Below are 12,881 nucleotides of genomic sequence, written 5' to 3'. Positions count from 1 at the left end.
CTAAGTAGGTTAGTCAGAAGTATTCCGTAAAGTATTTAGAATAAATGTCCTATTTACATAGAGAAATAGGTAGTACTCAAAATTTTGTATTACCATTTGATTTGCTATTTACTGATGTGTGTCATTAAGCATGCTTAAAAATAAACTAATAATTTGCATGAAAATACATTTCAGAAAGCATAGTAATCCAATAATTAACCTGGTAGATAGTGACATTTGAGCCCCTCATCCTTTGAGCTTGTCTTATTGCTATTTTGCATTGTACAGTTTCTAAAAATGTATGGCCGAAGAAGCATACTTGCAGGGATTGGAGTTTATTTTGTAGTGTAAAACCAGAAACCTTTTGTTGAAGAAATGAGCACATCCTAGACTATAATAGAAATATGCTTCTGTTTTGCACTTAATTAAAATGTACGGTTGTCATTTAAACTTTTAACGAAGACAGTGTTCACACATTTGAATGCATATTTAGCTTATGCATGAAGATCTTGCTTTTTTCAAGGTCATTAAAATTTTAAGGTAATCTAATAACAACAAATATATATATATACACATATATATATACACACACACATATATGTATAAAGAAAAAAGTTGCATTTGGCTTTTTTATATTTTAAAATTTGCTTTGATTACATTCGCTAGTAAGTTCTCTGTTTTTTTGTTTGTTTGTTTTTGAGACGGAGTCTTGCTCTGTCACCCAGGCTGGAGTGTAGTGGTGCAATCCTGGCTCACTGCAAGCTCCACCTCCCAGGTTCACGCCATTCTCCTGCCTCAGCCTCCCAAGTAGCTGGGACTACAGGTGCCCGCCACCACACCTGGCTAATTTTTTGTATTTTTAGTAGAGACAGGGTTTCACAGTGTTAGCCAGGATGGTCTCGATCTCCTGACCTCGTGATCTGCCCGCCTCGGCCTCCCAAAGTGCTGGAATTACAGGCGTGAGCCACTGCGCCCGGGCAAGTTCTCTGTTTAATTCCACATTACTTTCTTATAAATTTTATTTTAGAAATATTATAATATTGGGGGATTTTTAAAAGCTAAAGTCAGGGAGATTAAAAAAAAAACTAACTGGATATTCCATTGAAAGAAATATAATCATAAAGGTCACATGGCCATAAATAGTTTTGAAAAGTAATTAAAATATCAGAACTCTCATTTTTTTTTGACTTATGTTTTAAGTTCAGGAGTACAAGTGCAGGTTTGTCATATAGGTAAACTTGTGTCATGGGGGTTCATTGTACAGATTATTTCATCACCAACATATTAAGCCTAGTACCCATTAGTTGTTTTTCCTGATCCTCTTCCCTCCTCCCACCCTCCACCCTCTGGTAGGCCCCAGAGTGTGTCGTTCCTCTTTATGCATCCATGTGTTCTCCTTATTTAGCTCTGCTTAAGTGAGAACATGCAGTATTTGGTTTTCCGTTTCTGTGTTAGTTTGCTAAGGATAATGGCCTCCAGCTCCATTCATGTCCCTGCAAAGAACATGATCTCATGCTTTTTAATAGCTGCATAGCATTCCATGGTGTATGTGTACCACATTTTCTTTATCTAGTCTGTCATTGGTGGACATTTAGGTTTATTACCTGATTTTTCCATTGTGAATAGTGCTGCAGTGAACATGTGCCTGCATGTGTCTTTATAATAGACTGAATTATTTTCCTTTGAGTATGTACCCTGTAACGAGATTGCTAGGTTAAATCGTATTTCTGTCTTTAGGTCTTTGAGTAATCACCACACTGTCTTCCACAATGTTCAAACTAATTTATTGGTAGGAATATATCTTTCCTACTAATGGTGTTTAAGTGTTCCTTCTTCTCCACAATCTCGCCAGCATCTGTTATTTTTTGACTTTTTAATAATAGCCCTTCTGCCTGGTGTGAGATGGTGTCTCTTTGTAGTTTTGCATTCCTCTAGGGATCAGTGATGTTGAGCTTTATTTCGTATGATTGTTGGCTGCTTGTATATCTTCTTTTGAAAAGTGTCTGTTCATGTCCTTTGCCTACTTTTTTGTTGGTGTGTTTGTTTTTTTCCTTGTAAATTTGAGTTCCTTATAGATGCTGAATATTAGAACTTTGTCAGATGCATAGTTTGCAAAAATTGTCTCTCATTCTGTAGGTTGTCCATTTACCCTGTTGATAATTTCTTTTTCTGTGCAAAATCTCCCTAGTTTAATTAGATCCCATCTGTCAGTTTTTGCTTTTAGTGTCTTCGTCATGAAATCTTTGCCCTCGCCTGTGTCCTGAATGGTATTGCCTAGGGTGTCTTTCAGGGTTTTTATAGTTTTGGCTTTAGATTTAAGTCTTTAATCCATCTTGAGTTAATTTTTGTATATGGTGTAAGGGAGGGTCCAGTTTCAGTCTTCTACAAATGGCTAGCTAGCAGAACTGTCATTTTTAATGATGACTGCTTAAGTTTAATGTGTACTCTAGATCACAGAAGTAAAGATAGAATTACCTAAATAAGATACACAAATACACACACACATAGACACACACCCCCCGACCACGACACCCCTCCACCACACACTAACAGACCTGCACATTATCTATGTAGTAATATATCACAAGTCTTTGCCACTCCTGCATTTGGAAAGAGACTAGAGAAAGAAACTGAAAGTTGTAGTTCATAGCCTTTTCTGTGATTCAGGACAATAAAGTAGGCATAATTTGGCTATGTTTATAAAATAAATGGACAGATCTATTTGAGATGCTAGATAGCTATAACCTTAGGTTTTCTGGAGTACAACCAGCAATAAATAAAATTCAATCCATGTAACATAAAAAGGGAAGGATTGTGTTGGAACATTGTGGCAAGCCCTGTGCTGTATAGATCTCTTCAGACTACTAAAATCATGAAACTCTCCTTGCTTTTCAGCAACTGTTCTTACCCTACCAGACATTTGTTTACATTTCCATTAATTAAAACATTCCTTAGAATTTTGAACCTGATATTTTCTGCCTTCGGTATAAATTCTCTTTCCTGGGGTCACTTAGCTCCTGGGCATTATTTTAATCATGGTAATATGAATGGATTGATTAAAGAATTAAATATAAAATAACATGCTAAATTCATATTCCAAAAACCTACATTATTTCACATTTTAGCCTGTCTTCAGTTGGAATGTATCTTACAATATTGATGTGGTAGTGATATTTTTTCACTTTATTAGAGATATATAAAATAATTCATCTTGAAATGGGTGATGTCTTAGATTTGAAGATACATTGTAACTTACCCGCTCTGCCATCGTTATAGTCGTCTAGTCACTGGAGAACTCTTCTTTTTGTCACTCAATTTGAAACCTCAAGGGTTGTACCTTACAATAAATTTCCTTAGCTTCATCAGTGGGAGTGAAGTGAGTTTAGTGCAGAATGATATAAATGATAGTACTTCTTACATCAAAATCCTTATACTTTGAACAGACACTTTATCAAGTGCCTGAGCAAACACAGCAGCTTTTGAAGTATTTGAAGAGCCATTGAATTTAAGAGTCTTCATGCCTTCACTGTTCTTTAATCTTATTAGTACAGGCCTCCTTCAGAACACTGGCTCTTCCTTGGTTCAAATTTAAGGACATGGATTATAAAATAATGGCTGAAAACTTATCTACTTCAACCTGTTGATAGATATATCAAATACTTAGGAAGCTCTTGAATTTAAAATAAGAAATCATAATATTTTAAAATGCTATCCAAACTGATAGGGACCTATTTGATCTCCTTTAAAAAAAAAAACTATTAAAAAATTTTCATTCTTTTCCCACTGTATTTTTTTCCAGTTGAACAAGGTAAATTTTATGATCCAGTGTTTTGTATTTACTAATAAAATGATCAAATGGACCAAATAAGAAATGGACTAGAACAAGTATAGTAAATCTCAGATATTCAGACCTCAACATTACTTTTAGGAATGGCAATCTTGTATATCTAATTATGTCAGTAATTTAGATGGATATCATTTTATCTGATTTTTCTATTTTTATTCTTCTCTTGTCATTTTCATTCTGTCCTCTTTATGCTTGGAATGTGATATGTTTTGGATATTTGTCCCCTTAAGATCTCATGTTGAAATGTGATTCCCAGTGTTGGAGGTGGGGCCTGGTAGAGGTGTTTGGGACACGAGGGAGGATTCTTCATGAATGGCTTGATGCCCTCCCCATGGTAACAAGTGACTTCTCACTCACATGAGAGCTGGTTGCTTAAAGGAGCTTCACTCCTCCTCCTTGCTCTCTCTTGCTCCCTTGCTTGCCATGTGACATTCCTGGACCCCTTCTCCTTCTGCCATGAGTGTAAGCTTCTTAAGGCCCTCACCAAAAGCAGATGCCAGCACCATGCTTCCTATATGTATGGTCTGCAGAACTGTGAGCCAAAATAAACCTCTTTCCTTTATGAATTATCTCAAATATAACAATATGAAGAATTTCAACCTGAGAAATAAACAAGAAACTGTATATGAAAACACTGCCGTATTCTTGGCATAAAATTGGTGCCGCATATAGAGAGTAAAGTAATCAGATCTACATTTGACTTACGCGCACCTCCCAACTCTACCACTTAACAAGCTGTCTGCCTTTGGGCACAACTGCTCTTCCCTTCCACTTCTGATTCCCTAATTCAGTCTCAGTTTCCTTACTTTTGAATACTGTCACTTGTACTTCTGAAACTCAGTCTATGTCTCTCCTTTCCCACAGTCAGAGATTAGCCATACTTAACTATCCTTGGACTGTTGTTAGACTCCTGACTGCTTTTCCCGACTTAGTCTTTCCGCCGTCTGTTTTATACTGTTTACAACCTCCGGGTTAATTTTTTTTTTATTGTGATACACTTTCTCAAGAATTTTAAACACTATCACACTTAACTAATAAAATAAGTCTTAAGACCCTAACCCAGCCTTCAAAAGTCTTCATATATGGCTCGTCCCTCATATTTTTCTTCCTTGACTCTCCCTCTCATTGCATATTGCTTTTTGCTCTATTTACGCATGTTCATATGCATGCCTAATCTCCCTTTACAGGCTGTGAGTCACATGTACATGAAGACCATGTCTTCCTTATTTTTGTTTCTTGCACAATATCTTGTACATTGTATGTACTTAGTAAATGAATGGGGGAGTAAAGATAATTTATTGTACTTTCCTCAATTATAAAAAACAATATATGTAATTTGGCTTTTCTTGGTAAGTCAGTGTTGTCATTCTGAATATCAGTTTCAAAGTTTTATTGGGAAATTGGGAACCTATTAGGAGAAGGTCCTCTGCTAGGCATAGGGAGGTAGCTATGGATAACAGATGACCTTTTAAGGTGTCCTGCTAAATTTATTTTGTGTGCTATGTATTGGAAACCATATAACGAAGGTAGTTTAAAATAAGTATACATTGGCTTTGAGTCATATTTTCAGAGATAAATTTTCACAGAAAAAGGATGATGTAGGAATTGTGGTGCTGTGTGGGTCCCATATCATGTATGTACATATGTGTGCATCTGTGTGTATGTGTGTGCACATGAGAGAGAGTGAGGGAGTACCCAAGTGAGAGAATGTGTAAAACAAACAAATCAGTTGCTCAAATAACCTGCTTGAAAAGGCTTGTTCTAATTCTAAGCAGTATTCCTAAAACATGTAGTTTCCTGATACTTGAATAATATATGATAGCAATTCACAATTATAAAGCTCTTTCACACGCATTACCTTTCACTTAGTGTTTAAATTTGTAGAAATTTCTGGATTTTAAAGGCCACATTTTCTAAAGGAAGCTATTGTGTTCCCTGGGCAATGTAGACACAGAACTGGGTGATTGCACAATTGGACACAGAAAATTTTTTTCTTTAAATTATAGGCCAGAGAAACATGTCTAAATTGATGTTTTGAAACTTTCTCTATGGCTTTCATAAGCTTTTCCTTTATGGCTACCAATTATATAAAGTAAGTAGATTCTAACACTTTCAATATGATGATCTCTTTCAGTGTCAAAGAGAAATGAATCCTTGTATAGCAATTGTTCTTTTACTGTCCTTTGATTGAGAAAAGTATACACAAAAACTATTAAATTTTGTGACTTTAAAATTGCATTTTTTGGTGTGTGAAGCTCAGTCTGTACTTTATTGTGGGAAAAGCATGTAAAATGATGGACACATGATTTTTATTTTACTATAACATTGAAAATAACGATTAAATATTATTTAATTCTGTGTCAGAGAAATAATTTTGTTGAGAACATTCTCCTTTATTAAGAGAAAAAAAAAAAAAAAGCATTCCAGGCATGGTAGCTCATTAATCCCAGCACTTTAAGAGGCCGAGGTGGGCAGATTGCTTGGGCTCAAGAGTTCGAGACCAGCCTGGGCAACATGGTGAAACCCCATCTCTACGAAAAATATAAAAATCAGTCTGGTGGCATGTGTCTGTGTCTGTGATCTCAACTACTTGAGAGGCTGAGGTGGGACAAATTGCTTGAGCCCAGGGAGGCAGAGGTTTCAGTGAGGCAAGATCGTGCCACTACACTGCAGCCTGGGTGACAGCCAGACCCTGTCTTAAAAAAAAAAAAAAAAAAAAAAAAAAAAAGTGCCCCTAAGTAAATGAGGGAATTCTTACTTTTAGTTTTGCAACCTTAAATAATTTTCCTATAACATTTTAAAAATTGTAATTCAGGTGACTAAAATGAAAGTGTTCATAGGAGGAAATAATCATCTCTACTATTAGTGAGAAGTTGAATTTGGTTAGGAACGGGTTCAGAACATGCTACCCCAAAATATGCCACTTTGGCTTATTGATTATTTTGAGCTGAAGCTGTTTGAGAAACAAGAGATGGAGAAAGAGCTCTTTGATCCCCTCCTTTCTACCTAAAAGCAAATCATAAAATTGCCCGTGAAAAAGTTGTCTTTCCTGTGCCGGGAATAGGAGGACATTCTCGTCACCAGACATTGGGAAGCCATGCCGAAACAGACCTGTACAAACAAACCTACTAAAATAACCCCTGTCTTCCATCAGTTTCCCCCATATATTTCCTCGTTGTTTTCCCACAATTTACTGCCCCCGGCACAAGCTCTTGTGTCTTGTCACATTCCCATAATTGATCATTCGTTGTGTAAAAGGCACATTAAATGTTTGGGTCTAATGGTTTCTTTCCTTTTTTCTTTTTAACTTTTAGGTTCAGGGGGTACATGTGCAGGTTTGTTACTGGGCAAACTGCCTGTTGTTGGGGTTTGGTGCACAGATTTTTTTGTCACCCAGGTAATAAGCATAGTACCTGATGGGTAGTTTTTCCATACTCACCCTCCCCCAGCCTTCTACCCTCAAGTAGGCCCTGGTGTGTGTTGAATTAACGCAGGGACGGAAAACCAAATACCTCATGTTCTCACTTACAAGTGTGAGCTAAACATTGAGTAACATGGACACAAAGAAGGGAACAATATAATCTGCATTTTAATAGTAAAAACATGTACGTTCTTTGAAATACAGTGTCAAACGTGTATAACAACATAGTTTAGTCTTTAGACAATGCCTAATGCATATATAGATTCCCAACCCCTTGTAATAACATAACTACTTACTCAGTGAGAACTTACAATAACATGACTACCAGTCAGTGATTCTTAACACCTAGGTTGGGAACCATTGCTTTTGATGATATGCTTGCCTTACTTAGCCACTGCTATCAAAAGCCTACGTTGTGAACCAGTAATTCATTAATTGGTATTTTAATTCAGTTGTTTTTTAAAGTATTCTAGAACATTACTCTCTAAACTGTACTGTTTTAGTTTTTGGAAGATTTGTCAAAGTATTTTGAAGAACAAAAGCTAAACTTCTATGTTAATAGTTTTTTTTAAATTCCACAATATTTCATTATTTGCCATGTCTTTGATTATTTATTTTCATTATCCATATTTCAGCATTAAATATATTGGTAGGCTGAAATCATTTTCAGCTATATTGAGTGACTTTAAATGTCCCTGTGCCTGGTAGTCATCATTTGCATCTCAGTCTTTCTCTCTTTCTCAACTCAGTAATATTCTGATTATCAGTTTCAGTTTGAATTAGAGAAGGCTGACCTGGATTGACTAAAATGGAGGCAACACTACTAGAAAAAGTTTCTGTAGCGTGTCCATCTTCATCTCTGACTTAGACAAAGATTTTCAAGGGTTGAAAATGATGGCTCATTGTTCCTTGCTCACAGTTTCTATTAATGTGATAATGTTTGCAGTAATGATAATATACTAACATTTCTGAGATTAATGATATATTTTCCAGGAAATCAAAACAAAAAGCACTTAAATTATCTGTATTTCTACTTAGGCTAGAAGAAACAAGATTTCTAAGGTACCAATGCATATTTAATTATAGATTTTTGTATCAAGTACCATTTCTAGACATTTTGAGCCTAATAAATTTGAACATAATGATAGCTTTTATTAATTTTGCTGTAATATGCTAATACTATCTAACAACTTATTGTGAAAAATCAGATGTTCAGTACAGATGCAATGATGCATTTCTTTTTTGAATATTTTTTATCTGAAATTGATTCAATTCACAGATGCAAAATCCACAGATATGGAGGACTGACTGTATGTATTTAGTAATATATCTAGCAGACACATGGAGATAGTATAACTATTAGTAAATATTTAAAAGATGACTACATGTTGAACTTATTCTTTATGGCTTGTCTTGGTAGAAATAATATAATCTCAAGGAGCAAAATTTCTATTCAATATGGAGAAGAATTTATAACAAGTGGAATGGGTTGCTTGAAGAGAAAAGTAGATTAGGTATGTTTCGTCCCAGGCTGGGTGATCACTTGTGAGTCGTGATGGAAGTATAACAGGGATCTCATGAGTGTGTGCAGTAGATAGCCTATAAAGCCCCTTTCAGACATAAAACTATAAAAGAAGAAATGAGTTCTTAGCACAAATTATGATTTAACACTGCTCAAAAACTCACTTCTAAATTGCTCTCTCAGCACGTATTTTACAATGTCTCATTCAACTCCTCAACTGTTGTGAATTCCTTAAGAGCTGTACATTCAAAATTGTGCTAGATTCAGATGCAGCGGAATATGGAGGGCATCAGAGACTGGACCACAGCACTGACTTTTTTTCTGAGGCTTTTGAACATAATGGGCGTCCCTATTCTCTTTTGGTAAGTAAGTTTCTCAACATATTTCCTGCTATTTTAATTTACTCTTTTATTATAGTAATGTTTTTGTTCAAATAAACAACTCTTCAAATAAGCAACATGGAAAAAAAGCATGAAGGAAAGGGGTTAGGGAGAGGGGACTACGCTTGGCCAGATGTAATGTGTGTAAAAATTGGGTTTTGGAAAAACTAATAGTAAAGGATATTTAGGGGACAATTGGCAAAAATTAAATATTAATAGGATTCAAAACTGTTTCTCAAGAAATGAGCAGAAGGCAGTTTTTTATTTTTCTTTCAATTATGAACATTTCTATTCTTTATGCAACATTTCACTTTCCTTCTGTTCTTGTTTTCTCCATAACATTTTATATTAAGCAGATTTCTACATTATTGACTAGCAGATGAAGTTTAATTTAAAACACCTTAAAGGAGTCAATGAAAAATGTATCTTTCTTTTCTTTCATGTAGTAAATTGAAGGCTGAATTCATTCTAGTTATAAAATTCTCTGGATTTTTTATATTACTGAATGAAGCATTATATGACATAACTAATTTTTGCATTGTGGTGTTCACACAAATAGAATGTTAGAATGTTGCTTTAAACTACTATGTTTAAATTCTTTAAAATATGTAGAATTTAGTAAGTTTCTAGATTCAGAGGAATTCATTATTTAATTTATGGCCATATAGTAGGTTCAAAACCACATCTACCATTCCTAATTCTAGGACGTACCTAACAAATACATGACTTTACCATAGCTGTTAAAGTTCTTATTTCATTAAATTCTCTCACTTTTCAAAGGTTTAGATAGGAGTCAGGCATGAGGATCTCTGTGGTACCCCTAGGTCTTCCATCTTTCTACTGTTTTCCCACTTCTCAGAGTGATGCCAGCACTCCACTTTGTAAGCTGCCATATTATATATAAAAGTGATATGCCAAAGATCATAGCATAAAATCATTGAAAAGAGCAGGGATTACAAAGAGTGAGTTGCTGGATTATGGGTTGTGAGGAAAGTGCAGTGGAAAGTCCTATGAGAATTAGGTGTTGCCCTAAATGTATGTGTGTGCATATGGGTGTATGTTGATGATGACACTGATACAGCTTTAGATATATTTGGAGAAAGATATATATTTTTAAGAGAGAGGGCTCAAGGGTGCTATCACATTCTTAAAGGAATTATTACTGTAGTCTGTGAGAACATTCAATTTTGACACGTAAAATAAGTTTGATAAAAATAGTTTTGGAAGTGAATACGAATATTACCATAAAGTTCTGAAATAATCAAAAGAGTTAGATGCCCTTAGGGGTTAGGAAAGATGATTCAGCTCACAAAGGGGAGTCATTGGGAAGGAGCAACTGATTGCAAGCAAACTGAACTTTCACTGATGGAACTAGACTGAAAGGACTTGGAAAGACTCAGACAGCAAAATTCTTACATAGCCAGCTTTTCTAAATGTCCGTGTACCCCAACAGGGTTCTGTTATGAAGAACCTGAAGGTATAGTGAAAAGATCACAAAACGCCATGGCACAGGACCTGGAATCCTGACCCTTGTCTGCCATTTACTCACTGAGAAATTGATTAATTTAACTTTTTTTGCACTGCAGTTTCCCCCACCTGTAAAATGAAGATGATTCATATTATCTTCCCTACAGCAAGAGATTCTTAGGAAGCAGAAACTCTTTAACATGCCCAAGCTTTTTGGAAACTGTAAAATGCTATTGCACATGTATTTTAAAGTTGTACTTGTCATGGAGAGGCAATTATTGTTCAGTCGTTTAAACATGTCAATATACTAAGTGTTTCCAGGACACACAATTAAGAATACCTTCTCCCAGCTTTGGGGAGATGATCTTCTTAGGCGACGGCTCAGACTCTTTTGAGGTGGGCAGAAAATATCTTGGCATCCTTTCAATTTTGTGAGAGTAAAGATCTGCTGGCATAATTAAAACAAGCCAACCAACAAGTGGCAGCAACATCAGGAGATTACTTTTCAATCACTAATCGAATTGATCTCACCAGTGTGGAAAATGCAGTTGTAAATTATCAGGTAGAATAAAGAATGTCTCATAAGTATCAGTAATACATAGAGGAGGACAGCACTGCAAGGACATGGGAAACAGAAAAGAGCTGAATGCTGCCTGCAACAGAATTGTAATCCAACACAGCCGTGAGATAAGGGCTAGCTCTCTCTTCCCAGCAGCAACATCTTGTTTTGGATGACTACAGTGCTTCAGGAATTACTCGTTTAAATACACCTTTAGGCTCCAGATGATAAGATCACTCGTTTTAATGTGAGATTAAGGGAGCCCACACAGACGAGTAAAATACAGAAAATCTAGACAAACGGGTTTTCTTTTTACCTAAGTTATTCAGCAAAGAGCCAGAGGAAGAAAAATCACATTAACAAATGTACCTATTCTAATAATGCTTCATTATAAGAGAACTCCTTATTAAACTGAGTCATATGTGCTGGGATCCAGTGGAGTTGCTTGAACATGATCATAAGTGCTGTAGGTCTTATACCACTTCCAGTGAGATCACTCATACCTCCCATACTTGCAGACTAAAAGGAGGAAGGAAGAACAAAACGCAACTTTTCCTTCTTCCATGAAATTTTTGCCCATCATAACTAGTACACAGCATTTGCTAAAGCTTAATTTGCAAGCTTAATAATCCAAAGGATCTGCTGAATAAGTGTCAAATCTGTTTTCAAAGATAGCAACAAACAGCCCGAAGGAATCTTAAAATAGCCATACATGCTGCAGCATCAGCAGGTACCGTTCTAGCGTTGTCTCTGTGTGCTCCCTCAGTTGAAACTGTGAAGCTGGGGATAACTGCATGTATACCGCCATTGAAATGTATTTGCTAAGGTCAGAGTATGTCACAAATGTCCAAAAGCGATAGGGCAGAGCTCTGCCAGTCTGCTTTACTGGCAGTTATTGGAAACTCCATTTTAGCATAATCATTTCTCTATATTTTGATTCCTGATACCGGAACTTAATATGTTAACCTATATGTTAATCAGTGCACTGGAGGCAGGGGACTTCCTTTCTCTCCTCTGATTCATAAAACCAAATTCCATAGCACAAATGAGAGATAAGAGATTATTGAGCCTTAAATGAATTAGATTTCTTTACGGTAACTGAATGATGATGCTGAAAATGAGAATAAAGCAGTAGGTTTAGCACTAATTACTTTGGCAATTAGGTTTCTTATCAATAAGAAGTAGATGTATTTACTCTCATTCTAAATTTGGAGGTTCAAAAGTAGACTTGATTTAAATACAGGATTTGGCATAGATGTATCACTTTTATTGCCCCTCAGTTGTAAGTTTTAATACAGCTTAACAATTGGAAAATATCTTCTGCTCTATTCAAAATTATGAAAATAGTTTTTTAGAAGAAAGAAAATCTTGATTTTTAGTTTACTTTTTTAATGTATACAAGTTAGATGAGCTAATATACATTTCTGTACAGAAATACTAGAGTCACTTTTCTCCTAACCCCAATGCAAAATAATGAGAATTAGAATACAAGAATAAAATTTATTTTTTCTTAGAAAAGTATTTTATGAACTAAAGCATGTATGTGAAAACTAAAATTAATTTATATCATCTTTATATTTTTCAAAAAACTGTGATTTTTATTATAAAAAAGTGTTTATGTAGACTATGAAAGAATCTGATGACTTTTTCATTGAATGATGTTTGTTTGTTTTTTGTGAGACGGAGTCTCACTCTGTTGCCCAGGC

General features: G+C 35.4%; 1 protein-coding gene across 1 annotated transcript in view; it reads left to right on the top strand.

Moving 5' to 3' along the window:
• Positions 1-12,881, top strand: part of GBE1 (1,4-alpha-glucan branching enzyme 1) — a 271,943-nt gene that overhangs the window by 253,405 nt on the left and 5,657 nt on the right. Inside the window, exon 15 of the mRNA NM_000158.4 lies at positions 9,014-9,131. Coding sequence (NP_000149.4) covers positions 9,014-9,131 — 118 coding nt within the window. The remainder of the gene's footprint in view (positions 1-9,013; positions 9,132-12,881) is intronic.

Source organism: Homo sapiens, chromosome 3 (assembly GCF_000001405.40).
Source record: "Homo sapiens chromosome 3, GRCh38.p14 Primary Assembly".
Lineage (NCBI taxonomy): Eukaryota > Metazoa > Chordata > Mammalia > Primates > Hominidae > Homo > Homo sapiens.
This window is presented reverse-complemented; position numbering and strand designations above follow the sequence as displayed.